A 19,189-nucleotide genomic window follows, 5' to 3' on the forward strand; every position below is an offset into this window, starting at 1 on the left:
GGCCCAGGGCCACTAGACAGGGCCTTGGGGAGTGTTTCTGGGCTGCTGGTTCCTCCATGGTGCCCATGTGAGATTCTGCAGCCCAGTATCCCTGGGCCCCAGACCACTCCTCCTGTGCAACAAGCTCTTCTAGGGCCCTCCAACCCACATAGACAAGCCCTGAGGTTGCTGCTTGGTCTTTGATCATCCATCCAGGGCATGAGTCTGAAATCTTCTTCCCTTTTAAACCTGTTCTTCCTCCTTCTGAAGGCGGCATTGTCATCCTCCCCAACACTTCAGGCATCTTTGATCATTACCCAGAATGTTCAGCCACCCACCAAGCTGTTTGGATTCTTTCTCTGTATGAGTTCTGACATATACCTCCTGTGCATCCCATCACCACTGCCCTCGTTCAGGCCATCATCCGCTTCCCTGGTGCATTGCTTTCATCTCCTGGCCACTCTTCTAGCTCCTAGTCTGCTCTCCACATAGCCAGTGGAGGCTCCTTCTGAATCGCAGTTCTGATGGAATCCCCCCTTAATGAACATTCAATGGCTTCCTATGGTTTACAGAATAAAATTTGAACTTTTCTGTCTGCCCGGGGGTCCATTGTGATTTGGAGAAAGTCCTAATTGAACTTTCTCACTTTATTTTCAACTCTCTTCTTCTATGTTCCCACTGCTCCACCCAGCCTGAACTACTCTGGAGTTTGGGACCACTCCCTCAGTGAACCATCCAAGCCCTTTCACCTCTTGTCTCTTTGTGTATGTTTAGAGAACAGATTAAATATCACATCGTTCTTCTCTCACCTCCCATAACAATCTGATCCATGTTCTGGGAGAGCTATAGAGGCTTTTTGACTTTGTATTGCAGTGATGAGTAGGGAGTCAGCTTCATGCCTCCTGTATTAATGCTGTGTCTGGCCAAGATGTTTCTGACATCCGAGTGTGGTGCTATAATACAGTGATCCCTCTATCAATACAGAAGATGGTAGCATTTAGTCCCAGTTGCCTGCTCACTGCTTGTTATCTAACTGAACTTGTGTATGAGAGTCTGTCTTTTCTCCCTGCCTTCAAGGAGCTCCTTGTACCTAATATTTTTCCTCAGTGCCAGCAAATATTAGTTGTTCAATGCTTGTTGAAACAATATGAACGTGTGGCTTCAGAGACCTCTGTGTATAGTAGATGTGGCATCTCTTCCTTAGGATGTATTTCTGTGAGCTGGGCTGAAGGGACATGGCAGCCAGTGTGGGCTCCATGGGCAGAGCTCTGCTTGGAGTCCCCCTGTGGTCCCTTCCAGATTCTGGGTTCTCCAGGTGACAGTACCTGCAGAGGTCTCCTACTGGGAGACCAGGAAGGCAGGATGCGGAGACTGAGGGCCTAAGGGCAGAGAGCCAGTCTGGATGGGCAGGTAGAAGCTCAGGTGGTGGAAGCATTTCCTCAGCCATGCAGGGGTGGGGCTGCTGGGAATCTGGGGCATCATCTGTCCCCACCGGGTTGGGTGATGGGGCAGTGAGGAAGTGAGATCCTGCTGGAGCATTTCCATTGCCTCTGGAAAGGGGCCCAGTCTGGAGTTAACCCGGATATTAGATGGCAGGCGATCTAAAGGTATTAGGTCCAGTTTTGGTTTCTTTTCTTTTTCCTTAAAATAAAACAAATAGGGGTATCTTTACCCAGTCTAATTTGTGCAGTCCTGGGAGTCCCACATTGCATAATACTAGGGTGTTATGGCAGAGCTCCTGGACTTGAGCTACATAGTAGCCCTGTGATACAATTTGGATCTATGCCCTTGCTCAAATCTCATGTTGAATTGTAGTCCCCATTGTTGGAGATGAGGCCTGGTGGGAGGTGATTAGATCATGTGGGTGGTTTCTAATGGTTTAGTACCATCCCCCTAGTGCTGTCTTGTGATAGAGTTCTCCCAAGATCCGTTTCTTTAAAAGCATGTGGCACATTCCCCTCCTCTCTTCCTCCTGATCCAGCCATGCAGCACATGCCTGCTTCCCCTTCACCTTCCACTGTGACTGTACGTTTCCTGAGGCCTCCCCAGCCATGCTTCCTGTACAGCCCATGGAGCTACAAGGCATTAAACCTCTTTTCTTTATAAATTATCCCGGCTCAGGTAGTTCCTTATAGCAATGTGAGAATGGACTGATACACCTTGTCCGGTCCTGACTTCACAATCTGGTAGCCTGCTGAGCAGATAAGGTCCTCTGGTCATTTTTGTTTGACCTATCAGTGTTGATAAAAATTGAGCTAACATTTTACAATTGTGAGACTTTGTATAACATTTCACATTTCTGGTTTCTTTTAAAAAATGGGAAGACCTCACAAGACTGGGCTTCTTATTCCTACAAGGCAACTGTAAGCTGGACAGTTTGCCTTGTAGGCAGTGGCTGCTGCTCCAGGCAGGGCAGGTGACCCCACCGTGCCTCGGAAATCACTTGGCTTGTGTCATTCACTTATTGTCCTGACTCATGGCCTGGTCTTAGGTCACAGTCAAGGAGAATGTCACTGATACAGTGGAGGACCCTTCACCATCATATGTGAGGCCAGAACAATGCCATCGAGCTAAGCTGTGTGTATCCGAATGATAGAATGTCAGAGTTGGAAAAGCCTTTCTGGAACTTTGTCCCTATCTCTCCTATCTGCAAACACAGACCTGGAGCCAAGGGCCAGAAAGGGACTTTCCCAAGGCCACTCCGTGAGTTGATGGCAAAACTGAGACCAAAACCTGGTTGTCCTTACCCACAAGCAGGAGTCTTTCCTGGTTAGAGACAGAGCGTCCTGTCTTCCCTTCCTTTGTGCCTCTCATTTCATGGCCATCAGCTCCATTGCAGACCTGTGTGGAAACTGGAGGAAGACTGTGATGGGGAGGGCTGGGGAATAAAGGCCGGGGAGGCCCAGGCTGCTCAGGATAAAGGCTGAATACAGGGGCGTTCAAAAGCCACTGGGCACTGAGCGAATTAAGCCATGCTTGTCTCCGTTGCCCGGGTACTCTTTATGCATCACATAATGCCATTGTTCAGCCAGAGCCAGGGGCCAGAACGAGCACTTTCTTTGCAGGTAGGCAGCCAGTGCAGGCCCAGCAGCAAGAGAAGGAGCAGGAGAGGCTGGAATATTCTGGCTTGAAAACAGCAGCTGTGTAATAAAGCCGGGCTGGTTTGTCTCAGGGCCCCGCTGTCCCTTCTCCCCGCCTCAAAGTAGCAGCATGAATCAGTTCACTGCGGCAATGGTCCAGGCGATGTGACTTGCATCCCCATCAGCTACCTGATTGCGGTCCCTGGATGCATGAGGCGCTGGATGTGCCTGGCATACCAAACTGCCCGCCTCTGTGCCGCAGCTACTGGTAATGAAGATCACCGGCCCCGCCCAGCACTGCGGACAGAGCCGGGCATTCTTCAAGGCCACCACTGGTCTTTTATCTTGTCCAAGGCTCTGGGATAGTCACCGAAATCCTTGGGCTGCTTTTGACGGGGGCCACCAGCCTGTCTCAAAGATGCCCTGACAAGCCCCTCCAGCCCTGGGCAGACAAAGGCTTGAAAGGAGAGGAATTGCACACGGTCCAGACGCTGCTGTTTCTAATACGTTATTTTGACACACAATTAACTGCAAAATTTGCTCTAAGCTAAGAGCTCGGGCCCTCACAGGATTCGTACAGCACAATTCAAGCAGGATTTGGTTCTGTGAAACCTCATTTTTCCTGAAGGGCTAGGGATTGCCGGCTCCCCACGGTGATGCCACCCCTCTCAGGGCTGGCTGTGGGCACCGATCAGAGAGGAAGCATCAGCCCGCCCACAGCCCAGCATGGGGCCAGGGGAACCATGGCACGAGTCATGGGAGGGGGTGGATAAAGCTTGCACAAAACCGTCCAACAGAGCTCCCTGAACAACAACCCTTCCTAAAATGGTGTCGCTTATCCTCCGCTGACAAAAGCCTGATTTGAGCTCTCCCCGGAGGTGGGATGAAGCGAACACATTGCCTTTTATCTCCCCGTCGCTTTGAGAGGGGAAGACAACTGGTACAGAGCATGGTGGGGAGCCCTGGAGAAGGCACTCTTGAATGAAAGGCATAATCTCCGGCTCCCCCAAACCAGGAGGGGAGGCAGCTTTCATCCCCCACCGCGGCCCGCTCCCCCCGTCCTGGAGGCATCTGAATGGGAGTGGGGAGCTTGGAAGGAGAGGCTCCTGCCGCTGCACAATGCCACACAATATTGCTTCTCTCCAGGAGCCCAGAGGAGGCCATGGGTGTACAGCATCTTACTTTGAAACCAATTCTCCAATCAGCTATTTAAATAAGAAATATAATCTCATTGAACACCCAGAGCTGTTAGTCTGAGATGCTTCCATTTACAAGGCACTTGAAGAAAGTCCCCAAGCCCCCGGTTTATCAGGACAGCCAGCTTAGGATGACTTACTGGGGGAAAGAGAGGTGCTAGAGAGGGAGGGGAGAGAATTGAAGTTGGCCGTTAGAAATCCAGGCTGTCGACTGCTTGAGTGGTGAACCCATGCCGCACCTGTCGGTGCTCTATGCGGAGGAGGTGGGAGAGGTCTGTGGGTTTTCAGAAAACCATCCGATAGCAGGCAATGCCCTGTAAAGTTGTGAAGGGGGAAGAAGGGGCACAAAGCATTGTCTATCTCTCTTTTGGAAACATTGTTTTGAGTACTGAAGTCATTGCCACAGCATTTTTTTGTCAGAGGCCAAGTGGCTGTTAAGACCCAGTGGGTGAAATTCCCCTGACGAAAACCGGCCCAGCAAGAAGTGGGGGCGATAGCCTTGACTGACCCTCCCCTGCCTGAGCTCACGGTCTGCCTCCGGCACCAGCCATGTTTCTAGGCATTCTGGAGAGGGAGGCTTGAGAGCCTGTGCTGACCACTGTGGGAATCCTGAGAAAGCTCGTTTGCCACGTGCTAGCTTTTAATCTATGTGCAGCTCACTCACCTGAGGCCTCAGTGTTTATCACTTGCAAAATGGGTTGTAAGGACCAGGTGAGCTGAATGTGGACCGTGCCTGACAGGTGGACTGTGCCCCATACAGGATGGATACGATTCTACTGTGATGATGGCACACTCCGTCTCACTCACAACTTCGGGGAACATGGCCCACTGCTCAGGTTCTGGCATGTCATTTCTGGTCAGTAGCCCCGCCCCTCCTTGCCCTGTCCTGTTCTGCCCAATTCTGCCCCACTCTATCTTGCTCCCTTCAAAATCTATGGTGCTGATGACCGCCTGTGAGAGGTGATATCCTGTGAGAGGCTGGGAAGGGGAGTGTCCGTTTGAGCTGGAAGGCTGCCTGGAGGAGGTGTGGCTTGAACTGGGCTTGAGCAGTGGGAAGGATTTGGAGAGCGGAGGAATGAAGGAGAGCAGAGAGGAGAGGCTTGGAGGTAAGAACGAGCAGAGAGGGAGGGCTGGGGAAGCCAGTCTGCAGGGAGGGGAGGGGAGGTGAGGCGCTATGCTGGGGAGAAGGAGGGGAGAAGGATGGGAGGTGGCGGAACCCTGCCACTCCTTTCTTGGTTGCTTTGCACCCATCTGACGTCCTTGCTGGTCAGAGGATGAATCTGGCTAGAGCGGAGCAGAACTGAAGAGCAGAGCTATGCAGCCCTGGAAGCATCCTAGAGACCAAGACCCTCAGGGGCAAGGGCAGGGTGCTCACTCAGCCACACCGTGGATCAGCAGCAGGGCAGGACCCCACCCTGTGCCTCCTGTCTCTTTCTCCCGTTATGACAGCTAGCTCTGATGAGCACCTACTGTGCACCAGGCACTGTTCTAAGTCTTGGAATGGGTTTCCACAGTTAGTCCTAAGACAAGCCTGTCAAGTAGGGAGCATTGCTATCCCCATTTTAGAGACGAAGAAGCTGAGGCCTGGAGTAGTCTTGAACCTTGCCCGAGGTCACACTGCCAGGAAGAGGTAGAGCCCACAGGCCACCAGCATTGAGCTCCTTTCTGACCTCTTATCTTTGGGGAAGGTTGGCCCAGTTTCCTTCTCCTTTCCTGAAGGAGCGTGTGCGTCCTTGCTGAGACCAGGAAAGGAGGTCTCAGCTTCATTTGGTATTCCCTCCCTCCTTAGTAAAGCACGTAAGTGCCTTCTGCGCTCCCGGAACGTCAGGGAACATCAGCAAACATCAGTGAAGCGGGAGACGAATGCCCCCAAACCCGTGCCCCGTGGTGCAGGAAGGGCTGGCTCACTCGGCTGACTTCCATTAAACATTTGATGCATCACAGAACTGCCGAAAACCATCCATCAGGCCATCCCCCTCCGCCTGCCTCCCTGCCCTGCTCACAGAGGGGGTTCGGCCTCAGCCTGCATTCCCTGGCTCCAGGGAAGAGAGAGGAGAGGGGCAACACCCAGCCATGGCTGTGATGCTAGTAAGAGCACCATGTATTGAATGTCAGTGTGCCCAGGCAGACCTCAGCACATTACAGATTTTATCTCATTGAACCCCATGATCGCTGATAGGTGTGGCTGTTATCGTTCAGTAGATGTGGAACCTGACATCAAAGAGGGCCATAGTCACTCTGAAGGAGCTAGGGCCGCACTGAGCCCAGGGATATGAGTTGAGAGCCCCCTCCGCCCTTCTGCATTCCTCGATGGGGTGGAGCAGATCAGGTACTGCACAGTGGGATGGGGCCAGAGCAGCACAGTGCATTTAGTGATTAGTGACCCGTGGAGGTCAGCCCCGGCCAGAGCAGGTTGGGGGACCCCAGCACAGGGTGAGTTGCAGGACAGCGGTCCATGGGTAGTCCAAGGCACTCTGTCCTTCCCTCCACCCGGTTACTGCAGCCTGACCAAGTTTTCCGGGCTCCCCCTTCTCCCTGGGGACCCCATTCAATCAGAGGCCAGTCTCTTTGGTTCTCCCAGCTAGATGTTCCTGAATTCACAATCTCACCCCCTTTCCTTCCATATCATGGCCCCTCTCGTGGGGGACTGCCCCAGCCTCCTGCTGGTCTCTGGCCTCACCTTGCCAATTTCTTCTCCCCACTGTAGCCAGAGGGATTGTTCTAGAACCCATGTCTGCCCTCTGGTTCTTCCACTTAAAACTCAACCTGACTGCCTCACATGGGATGGAGCCCACATTGTGCACTCAGCCTGACCTCCCCAGGACCCTCCTGCCCGTCCCTTGCTGGCTGCCCCCATGCTCATGCTGGGGTCTCGGCTGTGCTGTGCTCGCTGCAGGAGAGCCATCCGCTGCTCCTTGGCTGGTGAATTTCTGCTTATCGTTCAAACTCCAATGCAGAGCACCTTTCTTCCAGGGAGTCCTCCCTGATAACCTTTATGTGCTTCATCCCAACCAGCACAAACCGCACTGTCCCATTTGCTTCCCTGCTTGTCTGTCACCCTCTATTGATCATCAGTTCCAGGAGGGCAGCGAATGTGCCCCCTTCCCCACTGCTCCCCTAGAGTAACATGGGGGCTGCTCCACAGCAGGCCCTCCAGGAATGGATGGCTGCATGATGAATGAATGAATGATGCCTGATACGGCTAAGACTGGAATCCCCCAAGGTGCAACAAGGGTCGGGGACTCAGACGCAGGTGGCAACCTAGCAGTGGGGAGGTGATGTGGTGTTTGGAGTTTAACTGACCCCAGTGCTTACAAGCTGTGTGGCCTCTGCCTGCCTCAGTTTGCTTGCATGCAACATGGGTATAATGACAACTCCTTTACTGAGAATTTGTCCTGAGAGGCCCTGGAGATAATACCTGGGCAGTGCCCAGCCCTGTGCTAGGCACAGAGGAGGATAAGGTGGGGCTCCCTCTGGGGCTTGAGGCCAGGGTCAGGCTGCAAGCTTCTCTGAGACAGCATGTGGGGCTGACCTGGCTCTGCAATCAGGAGGACTGTGAGTCCTGAGGCTATAGTCTAGGCACACAAGAGGAGGCAGGGGCAAGACACTCCCCATGCTCCTCTGGGCTGGCCTCAGCATGCCAAGGCTGGGCTCTCACCATTAGCTCATCCTTCCTTTGAATGGAGCCAATGGCAATCAGGAGGACCGTGAGTCTTGGGGCTATAGTCCAGGCACACAAGTGGGGGCAGAGGCAAGACATTCCCCACGCCTCTCTGGGCTAGCCTCAGCATGTGGAGCCCGGGCTTTCACCACTAGCTCATCCTTCCTTCGAATGGAGCCAAAGTTAGAACTGGGCCACACTGAGATTACCTGCGTGGGGAAGCAGAGGCCCAGAGAGGGTTTGGAATGTGGGTGCGGGTGAGAGAGGTGGGATGTGGGGAAGAACCACCATTTATTAGTTACCTACTAAGGTGCGGGAGGTACTGGCTTTAATGACAGTCAGGCACCCCCAATTCCTGGATGTCTGGCCATGGGCACATTGTGTAAAATGGGTATGAAGTAGCACATATCTAGATGGTTGCCAGGAGGGCAGGGGACGTGGTACAGAGGAAACACCCAGTACCCAGTGCCAGCCACGGTAAGTGCCCGCTAACTGAAGCCCACTGTGGAAACTTTGGGGTGCCTTGGTCTGGTAGGTATGATCCCCGTTTCCAGAACAGGACAGGAGGCCCAGGGAGGTGAACGGAGGAACTCAGGGCCACGCAGCCACTAGGGACCAGAGGGACAAATGACCTGGCCCGAGGCTTGTGCTGAGGTTTTGGCCACGGGGACCACATATGGCAGGGTAGTATTTTTCTCATCGCCTTCACGTCGCGTTTCTTAATTTAAAGTGGGAAATTCCATATTGGGTGCCTCATCAATCATTTTTGTGAGCTCAGCTCCATGGAAAGCACAGAAAACATTTATATTTGCAGCTCAAACTGTCGAAAATGTAAAACAATTTAAATAATATTAACATTTTAACAGCCTCCACTCACAGCTCTGTGAAATTAACCATTATCTCTTGGAGTAGTTGTTAAAATTCAGCCGTGGGTAAGTGGTGAGACCCATGGACAGCGTGTTTAGGGGTGAGAGGAAAGGCCAGGGGGCCACCCGTGTGAGCTCCCAGGGGCTGGTCCCACCCAGGCCTCCTGGCCATTCTGCCAGGCCTGTGTCCTTGCTCAGGGGACAGACTCCTGTGGCAGGGACTGTGGCTCCTTGTGTCTCAGATGAAGACCCTCCAATTGGGCTGGGTGCTGGAGGCCTAGAGAGAAACACAGCACTGACTCTGTCCTTAAGGGACCCCGGTGGTAGGGAGGTGACTGGCAAAATGCACACTGGTGTGGGATTTGTGCTATACACAAGAAGGGAGTGCTGGGGTGTTGGGGGCACTGAGGGGAAATCAGGAGCACCTCCTGGAGGAACCTGCATCTGAGATGATTCCTTGTGGTAGGCAGGCACTATGTGAGGGAACAGATCATCTCCAAGGCCTGGCCTTGCTATAAACCTCAAGAGCCTAAGAGGGCCTGCCTTTTGTCCCAGGCAGTGAGAAAGAAGGGCCTGCAGAGCGGTGCTTGTGGGTGGTTCTGTTAAGCTCCACACACAGATCTGGGATGGGTTCGCTTGAACAGGGATGCAGATAAGGGGTGGGCACTTGCTGGGCTGTTGGGTGATCCAGGAGTGATGAGCTTGAAACACCAAGACTCAGGGAAGAATGACGTTGTTTTCAAATAACAAGAATGAGACAACTTTTCCAATGGCTTCAGCAGGACGAACTAGGCTTTGTGGGCAGATGTTATAAGGTGATAATACAATTTCCTTCCTACTACATTTTCTTTTCTGTTTTGAGTTGAGTTCTTGCTCTGTTGTCCATGCTAGAGAGCAGTGGCATAATTATAATTCACTATAGCCTTGAACTCCTGGGCTCAAGTGATCCTCCCACCTTGGCCTCCCAAAATGCTGGAATTACAGGTGTGAGCCACTGCGCTCAGCCCTACATTTTCTTACCTATTCCTTCTTTTATTATTATTATTATTATTTATTTTTTCATTTAATCTTGCTCCTTTTAATACCTATTCTTCCTTCTGCTTTCCCATAGGGTCATGATACAGTGATCAGTAATGAAATGGTGAGCTCCCCCCATTGTCAGGGGTGTCAGAGAGATGTTGGGTGACATCAAGGACTAGTAAAAAGGGATTTCTGCATCGGACCTTTATTCAGCCCCACTGTGGGCCAGGTCTTGACTAGACACCACCTCCTTGGAAAAGAGCCAGACCCAGTCGTTGCCTTTGAGGGGTGTTATAGACTGAATTGTATCCACTCCCCAAATCTGTATGTTGAAGCCCTAACCCCTAATGTGACTTTACTTAAAAATTAGTAAATGAGGTTGTAAGGGTGGAGCCCTAACCCGATAAGACTGGTGGTGTCCTTATGAGGACAGGAAGAGACAGTAGAAAGCTCACTCTCATTCTGTGAGCACACAGAGCAAAGGCCATGTGAGGACACAGCAAGAAGGTGGCTGTTCACAAGTCAGGCAGAGAGCCCACTTCAGAACCAACCCCAGTGGCACCTTGATCTTGGACTTCTAGCCTCCAGAGGGGGGTAAAGAAATGTCTATTGTTTATAGCACCCAGTTTGTGGCATCTTGTTATGGCAGCCTGAACTCACTAGTACAGGGTGTTCTTAGATGAGGGATTTGCTAAGGTTGCTGACTGTAATACAGTACCATACAGGACAGAAGTGTGCACAGAGAAGGGAGCGCCTGGCTCAGTCAGGTGGGCATCAGGGGAGGCTACCTGGAGGAGGTGGTGGTGCAACAGAATAAAGAGAATCTGGTCATGAAGAGAGGAGGAGGAAGGAGGGGAAGCAGAGGTGGGGGGGACAAGGTGCAAAGACACAGAGGTGTTAAAAGCATAGGTTTGGGGACACCAAGAAGAATTCTATATGATTGGAGAGCAGGGTTAGAAGAGGATTTGAGAGGAGAGAGGAGGCTGGGGCACAGGTGGGCCCACCGACGAGGGAGGACCCTTCTTTATCTTTCTGAGAAGATGATTTAGAGACTCCCACCTGACAGAGGACTCCATGATCAGTGACTAACTTGCTGTGTGACCTTAGGCAAGTCACTTAACCTCTGCGCACCATAATGCTCTCATTTGTAAAACCGGGCAAAGCATGGCTGCCCTGCCTGCCACCCGGCTGCTTTGTGGGCTCAATAAGCGAGCGCGTGTGAAAGCACTCTGGTGAAAGCCCCATAATAGCGCCACGGAAATGGAAGGTGTTATTATTATGTAACCGCGCTGACTCCCGTCAGACAGTGTGGAGTCAATTGGAGGCTTGAGGGATGTCAGGGAATTGGCTGCTCTCTGAAGCTTGTCATAGAGACCTGTCTTTTCATTGTACTCCTTTCATGTCACTGTTGGCCCGATGAAAGAAGGGGAGAGAATCTTTGATATGTCTAAATATTCCGCTCCCACCAAGATGGGAGGAATTCCGAGGAAGAGCTATTATTAGAGGCTGAGCTGGAGGCAGGCGCCTACGTGGATCAGAGGCTGTCAGTTTGCACAAACAGCCTCCCGCACTTCCCAGGCTGCTGCGGGCCTTGGCACAGAGTAGGTGCCAACCGTGCTGGTTGTATTGCAGTGGCACTGCCCAGGCAGGCAGAGGACCAGCTTCTGGTTCCCATTCTGCATCCACTTTGCTGGGCAACCCCAGAGCCAGTCACTTACCCTCTCTGAGCCAAGAAAGATGTTATAGTGCTTCCTGATGGTGAGTGCTTTTATGAGCGGGGAAGATAAGATGCTGTATGGTACAGAGATCTGGGCGGGCCAAAAAGTGACTAAGCACAGGCTGCTGACATTTTGGGTATGATGAGGCCAGGGAATTTCCTCTCTGGGAAGGATGCATTAGGATTTGGTTCTTCCTAGACCTTGTGTCAGAACCACCTGGGGGGTTTGAAAAATCAGATTCCCTGGCATTACTCCAGGCTTAGAATCAGAATCTCTGGAGGTGAGGCCTGGGACTGTCTTCAGCAAGCTCCGTAGTGGTGTGGATGCAAGTGGCTCAGCACTGGTCCGTGCTCCTGCATTTACAAAGGCTTGGACCAGGTCAACTGTCTGGGCTGGGGACACTGTGATTCCATGGCAACAGGGCAGGGCACCCTGCCTAGTGCTTGACCCAGTGAGTCCAGCCCTTTTCCTGTTTACTTCTAGGCCACATTAAGTCCTCCAGGAGCCTGTGGGTGGGTCCTGGACCCACTAGTCCATGAACTGGGGAAATGATGGTTGTACTCTGGCTCCTGGCCAGCTCCAGCTGGGCATGATGTCTTCCATACCAACCCTATATAGATTGCCATGCCTAGATGGAGCCTGCCATGTCTGGCTCAAGACTTATAGAGACCAACTGGGGAGGGCTTCTGGCAGGTGAAGAATGGGCCTCTTTGGACTCATTTTCAATGACTTGTCAAAATCACTTGTCAAAGTGCCTTCACTGACAGGGAGCCTCAGAGAAAGGCCTGGAGGTACCACCTGAAAACAGCTCCCTGTTTCAAAGGTGAGGAAATGGGCTAAGAAGGGCCAAGTTGGTTTGTTACTTTCACTAGAACCCTTGTCCTGTTGGATTAACCCTGGGACCTGGGTGAACTTGAAGAAGGCAGAGCCTGGTCAGGCGCACAGAATTGGAGACTATTTTGTGTTCTAATGCAGGCTGACATCCTGGGGATAGATGATAGCCTGTCCCTGGCTCTCATGGGCCTATTGAATCTCTAGGCTCGGCACATCACAGTCCTCCCAGTGCTTGCCTTCTCTCCACTACCACAACAACTGGCTACCAAGGAAGAATAAGAGCAGCGCTTCTTGCCTTGGCTGCCCACTAGAGTTTCCTGGTGCACTTCAAAAAATCCCGATACCCAGCCACACCCTTGACCAATCAAGTCAGTATCTCAAATGTGGGACCCAGGTCTCAGTAAATATTTTTAAAGCTCCCTAGTGATTTCATTGTGAAGCTACAGGGAGAACTGCTACTTTAGAGTGGTGATTCTCTACAGGGGGTGATTTTGTCACCTAGGGGACACATGGCAATGTCTGGAGACATTGTTGATTGTTACAACTGGGGAAGTACTACCGGCATCTGGCTGGTAGAGGCCTGGGGGATGTTGCTAAACCCTCTAAAGTACATAGGACTGCCCCTACCACAGAGAACCATCCAGCCCCAAATGTCAGTAGTGGTGGGATTGAGAAGCCCTGCCTTGGATGAAGTGGGGGAGGTGACCTTGCTCACCGTTCAGCCTTGCAGGCTGACCATCTCCCTCTTACATCTTCCCAGCCCCCTTTGAAGGGAGCCTCTCCCAGCATACTAAAAGTTTCCCAGTGGGTGTGAGCAGCTCTCAGCGTATTAGCCACCTGGGTTTTCTGCCATGTCCAATACCAGTCATTGAGACAACCATCAAAATCACAATGATCTTTCACCTTTACTAAATGAAAAGCTAAGGCAAACTGCTCTCAGATGAAATGGAGGGGGTAGAAGCCTGGAGAAGTGCCTAGAGCTGGAGGGATATGATTCAGATGCATGAAACAAACATCCCCAGATCAAAGTTAATTTCTTCCTCCTGTAAAGAAGTCTGTTGGTGTGGAGCCCAGGGCTGGAATGACGGTTCATGTGTCAGGGACCCAGGCTCCTTCTGACTTCTTGCTCCCCCATCCTCAGCACACAGGCCCCCACTGAGGTCCAAGAGGGATGTTGGAGCTTTCAGAAGGACTATGCTTTTCTTCTCCTTCCAGGACTGGTGGAGGCACCCAGCCCTCCTGATACTTCCGTATGGCTCATATAATAATCCTGTGAGGAACAGAGAGTAGGTGTCATATCCGTCCATTCTACAGATGCATAAACTGAGGCTCAGGGACTTTGAGTATATGTCAAGTTAGAAGTGGAATTCAGGACTTCCAACTTTCCTAATGGTGGTCTTTCTCCTGCAGGGGACTGAGGGGGACACACCCCTTCCTCATCTAAGCCTTTTACATCTCAGATCTGGTGAATTTTTCTGACTCCTTCAAGGCAGGGCATGCCTACACATATGGTGTTTACCCCCTGAGTTTAAGTGACATTATGGCTAGATGACATAAGACAGTGGCTTTTTCTTTTTTGAGACAGGGTCTTGCTGTGTTGCCCAGGCTGGAGTGCAGTGGCATGATCATAACTCACCGCAGGCTTGAACTTCTGTTCTCAAGCGATCCCCCTGCCTCAGCCTCTGGAGTAGCTAGAACTACAAGTGCACGCCACCATGCCTGGCTAATTTATTTATTCATTTTTGCTTTTTGTAGAGGCAAGGACTCACTATGTTGCCCAGGCTGGTCCCAAACTCCTGGCCTCAAGCAATCCTCCTGCCTTGGCCTCCCAAAGCATTGGGATTATAGGCATGAACCACCATATCTGGCCTATGGTGGCTCTTAAGGCATTCTAGACCAGCAACATCAGAATCATCTGGGAGCTTGTAAGAAATATAGATTCTTGGGCCAGATGTGGTGGCTCATGCCCAGCACTTTGGGAGGCCGAGGCAGGCAGATCACTTGAGGTCAGGAGTTCAAGACCAGCCTGGCCAACATGGTGAAACCCCATCTCTACTGAAAATACAAAAATTAGCCAGGTGTGGAGGTGCATATCTGTAATCCTAGCTACTCAGGAGGCTGAGGCAGGAGAATTGCTTGAACCCAGGAGGCAGAGGTTGCGGTAGCCAAGATCACACCACTGCACTCCAGCCTGAGGTACAGAATGAGACTCTGTCTCCAAAAAAAAAAAAAAAAAGAAAGAAAAAAGAAATATAGATTCTTGCAGCCATCTGTTTGAACAAATCTCTGTGTGGTTCTGAGCCCTGCCCTCTAAGGTTTGAGAGGCTCTGCTCTAAGCGATCCTGGAGACCGCTTTGCAAATCCCAGTCCTAGAGAGGCCATGTGAATTTCCAGAGGCTGCAGTCAGTCCCACACAGGAAACAGCTGGAATTCCAGGACCCCAGCCAGGACCCGTATAGGACTTAAGGCCAGGGCTAGGTGAACAGGCTTTATTAGCAATGGTAAGCTCAGCTGCTGAGACAAAAATCAGCCAAATCAGTAGCTAGAAAAATAATGTCCAGGTTGCAGGCTGTCCCGGCCCTCACAGTCTTCCAGGGGCCCTCTTTCTGATTTCTCTCCCATCTTCTCATAGGGCATTGTCCTCATCTCTCTTGTGCACACTGTGGGGAGGGAAAAAGGACCCAGGACGTTCTTAAGTGCCAGATTGGAAGCAGCAGACATCACTCTCACCGGCATTCCAGACCTCAGTCATGTACACAGGAGGCCAGAAATGCTGTCCAGCTAGACAGCCAAGGCCCAACTACCTCTGACCCCCGATTCCCCACCCTTCTCCTCACTTACTACATTCTGGCCACTGTTCCATCCAAGGGCCCACACTCTTCCTACCTCAGGCCTTTTTGCAGGTGCTGGTCCCTCGGCCAGAAATGCTTTGCCCACCCTTGTCACCTTCCCTGACCAGCCTATGAGCAGTGAATGCTCTCCTTGGTATTCTCTGTCTCAGCCTCCTGTTTGTTTCCTTTGCTGGGATATGACTTGAGTTTGCATCTTTGTCTGATTACTCAAAGATCTTGGGCCCATTTCTTCCACTGGCTCTAACCTAGACCTGTGGCATCAGAATCACCAGGGGTGCAAATTCTCCAGCTGCACCCCAGATCTACTGAATCAGAAACCATGGGGGTGGGGTCCACCAATCAGTGTTTTTAAAAACCCTCCAGGTGATTCTCATGTACAGCAAAATCAAAAAATAGTTCTCTGAGGCTGGAATCTGGGCATCTTCAGGTCTACATGGCCCATCGGTGAATCTCTGTGGAATACAACTGCACCCTCCACTCCATAAGCCTACTCCTTGGACTACAACATGGAGAGAGGGAGTTGGGGAGGTGTGACCATGGGAATAGATGCAGAATTGGCAAAGAAGCAAGACAGACTGACCCCCAGGGAGCATGCAGCAGCCACACGAGACAGTGCATCATGGAGCATTAGGAGGAGGGGAAGAGAGTGGACCATAAGCATCAGAGGATGGAACTCCTGGTCAGGAGAAGGGAGGTGAAGCGCCGGTCCTTCCACCACTAGCTGGGCAACTGGGGCAGGCTCTCTCTCTTGACCTCAGTTAACACAACTCTAAAATGGGGCAATAGTGATACTTCACAGCCTTTCTCCATTAAACAAAACAATGTGTGAAGAGTGAGATCAATGAAACTCCTAACTGCCTTTTATTGAGCACCCACTATGTGCCAGGCCTGGGCCAAGCACTGTATGATTTCATCTTCACATCAGCCTTTTGAAATAAGTTCTAAATCACTTCCAATTTGCAGATGAGAATGCTGAGGCCTAGAGCTCTTCAGTCACTTGCCTAGGGGTAACACCAAAGCAGTAGCTGGCAGGGCTGGGTCGAGGTGAGAGGACATCAGTGCTCTTATTCTGCCTGACAATGAGCTGTGTTCTGTTCCTCATCGCTCCCCCAGCACAGCCAGTCAGGAAGGCAAGAAGTGCTGCTGCCCGGGCCTTTGGGTGTGTCTGCTCCTCGGCCTTTGAGGACTCATACAGGAAGCAGGCTTGATGCATGCTTGTCAAGTGGAATAGAACCAAGGGAGAAGAGAGTGCCCTCAGCCTAGCCCCCTAGGGAGTTCCACTGCACAGTGCCATCAGAAGTGGTTCTGCCTCTGCAGGGCCTGGTCCCACCTGTCTCACCATGTCAAGGCTGGGCAAGGCTGCCTGGCTAAGGGGAATGCATTGCTTCCCAGACCTGTGCATAGTCGTGCCCACCTAGCTGTGTTGTAGGAGTCAGAATCAGGTGTGCAGAGAGGCAAGCAGGGCTCTTGCCTTTAGCGGATGCTCCATTGAGAAGTTGTTCATGCATTCGTTCATTCTTGCCATCCTCAGCATGTTCACTGACCCGCAGTAAGAGATGATGCCATCTACCAACCTCGGCATCCTGTGTAATATTTAGACACATCAATGGCTAATTTTAATGCAAAATACTGGGGGCAGGGCAGTGCAGAGCAGGGACTACTTCTGCCTGAGGATGGAGTAGGGGACAGCGGAGGCTGCAGGGAGGCTTCAAAGAGGAGGTGACATTTACCCAGCATCTTTAAGAACATTACCCCTCACTCTCACCTGTTCTTACCCTGCCATTTGAACTCACCCAAGCCTCCCACTACCCCTCACACACCCATGCACATATGCATAGCACCACAACTGTTAGCCAAACCCCTGCACCAGCACCAGCGAAGTTCCACCTGCATGAAGTGCTTCCTAGGTGCTGGTGGAGGCCATCCAGGTAACCCATGGGTCAAATTCCACCTCGAAATGAATTTTTTTTCATCTCACAGTGTTTAAAGTTTTAAACTTCAACACTTTACGAGCCAGAGATTGCATACTAATAGTTCAGAATTTTCACTTTCTCTAGAAAAATGAGAAGTCTCTCCAGCCCCAATGACGGCAAGCACCCTGGAGCTGAGGGGGCTGAGTGGCGGCTGTGCCCTTTGGACAGGTGAGTGTGCTCCAGTCCTGGGCTCCCCACCTGCTGCACACATCTGGAGTCTACCTGGGCCGGAGAGACATTTGACTTTAAGACCTCTGTGTCTCTCTCACTGGGTCCTGTGGAATTTGCCCAGGAATGGCTGTGAAATACCCCTACTCCTTTTGCTCCCATTAAAGGGGGCATATCAGAATGGGAGTGGCAGTTGTAAAAGTAATAAGTCATTTACAATAATCAGCATTTATATGAAATGACTGTGACACATCTCCCACATGACTGGGTCACCTGCATGTGATGTGACTCCAGGGCTCTTAGCACAAAGCGTCATGGCAAACTATGCCTGGCTCTAACTCTCACTGGCATTTTGGGGGACATCAAAGCTCAGTACAGACTCTGCCCAATCAATATAGAAAAAAAGTAAAACTGATTAGAAAGGCGACGACCTCCAAGGGCAACTATGTGCCTGTTCCCATTTGCCCTGACAATACTTAACGCCTTTACCAAAGAGAAATCTTCTCAGCTTGAGGCTGCATGTTTTTTGAATCCCAGATATACATATACATATATATATGTGTGTGTGTGTATATATATATGTATATATATGTGTGTGTGTGTGTATATATATATATATATATTTTTTTTTAAATCAGGCAGCAGCTCCCAGTTTTCTCACCTAGGGGTAGCTGGTGGCCAAGAGGAAAGAGGAGTTGTCGTAAGTCAATTTTTTCCCTGGCTTTCCTTTCTAAAGCCACCCCTGAGGGGATGATGCTGGAAGTGGGAGAAGGAGGAAGGGGAGAGGGAGAGCTCCAAGGGAAACAGGAATAGGGAGAAAAGGTGCTTCCTGGCCCCTGGAGATGTCTCCAATGGGTGCAGGTTTCGTAAGTAGTGGGACCCCAGCTTTCCCTGCAGCAAACCAGGAGGAATGGCTCGGTGATTTCCAGTAACCCTGAAGGTTTCCAGCCCCAGTGTGGGACAAAAGTAGAGTGCAGGGCACCTAAAAAGACTAAGGCTGGGAACAGTGATTGTTTCTGAAGTAAGCAGAGGGGTTCGAGGACCCGAGGTCTTCCCAAAGCCTACATTTTGTGTAAGACTCCGTGACCTTCACATAATTTTTGCCTGGGGGGAAGAGCACCTGGCCGTGATGCACTAGGGTTACATTTCCAGGCAGCATTGCAGAAGGAGGGCTCCAGAATTCAAAGCTACAATGATTTATGGAAAAGGCTAAATGGGATTCTTCCTGTAAGCTTGAGTTTGAAGACTGAGGTTCTTGCCTCCAGAGTAGATATTGAGGCAGATTAGTTCCAGAATTGGGTTACGGTGTTCAGAGATGGCTAATGTGTATTGTCTAGAGGGCCAACTCAGGCTGGGAGGGGCTCTCTAGGGCTTTGTGTTAAGAGGGATTCTGAGGCAGTCTTGGCTGGCTGGGGGGAAAGCAAGCCTTCATTGATTAGTGAGCTGTAGCATGGATGTGATTTTTGGTCTTATTTAACCCTTTCATTTTATAAGCAAAGTAATTGAGGACTGGAAGAGTTAAACCTTTGGCCTAAGATTGGGGCAGAGCTGGAACCAACCAAGAACTTCTGATGCTAGTGCTTGTGAAATCCTGACAAGATAAGAAAGCAACAAGGAGGAAGGAATTCTAGGTGGGGGAGAACAATTGCTCTGGGAGACAGCTCATCAAAAACAACCTGCTAGCACAACATCCTGTTCCCAAAACCCTGTTCCACATGTAACCTTTCCAGCACAACCTTATAAAACTTCCCTCCAGCCCCTTTGCAGGCAGCCCCTTCTCTGCTGTGCTGCCCTTTGCACCCTTGCAACCCTTTCTCTAATAAATTTGCCTTTCTTTACCTA

General features: G+C 51.1%; 1 long non-coding RNA gene across 1 annotated transcript, besides 2 other annotated features; it reads left to right on the forward strand.

Moving 5' to 3' along the window:
- Positions 1,928–6,453: an enhancer, noted in NCBI's record as "VISTA enhancer hs2223". NCBI's record gives its function as "enhancer in: hindbrain (rhombencephalon)[4/6] | midbrain (mesencephalon)[3/6] | forebrain[5/6]" and the evidence as "EXISTENCE:transgenic organism evidence [ECO:0001131][PMID:17130149]".
- Positions 2,564–3,428: an enhancer, noted in NCBI's record as "H3K4me1 hESC enhancer chr10:79936206-79937070 (GRCh37/hg19 assembly coordinates)". NCBI's record gives its function as "activates a minimal SCP1, AML or CMV promoter by ChIP-STARR-seq in naive H9 embryonic stem cells {active_cell/tissue: H9 hESC(naive)}" and the evidence as "EXISTENCE:reporter gene assay evidence [ECO:0000049][PMID:30033119]".
- On the forward strand, positions 5,300–19,189 carry LOC105378375 (uncharacterized). The gene is made up of 4 exons (XR_946096.3): positions 5,300–5,361; positions 17,264–17,347; positions 17,986–18,047; positions 18,842–19,189. It is a non-coding gene; the product is annotated as an uncharacterized LOC105378375 (long non-coding RNA).

Source organism: Homo sapiens, chromosome 10 (assembly GCF_000001405.40).
Source record: "Homo sapiens chromosome 10, GRCh38.p14 Primary Assembly".
Lineage (NCBI taxonomy): Eukaryota > Metazoa > Chordata > Mammalia > Primates > Hominidae > Homo > Homo sapiens.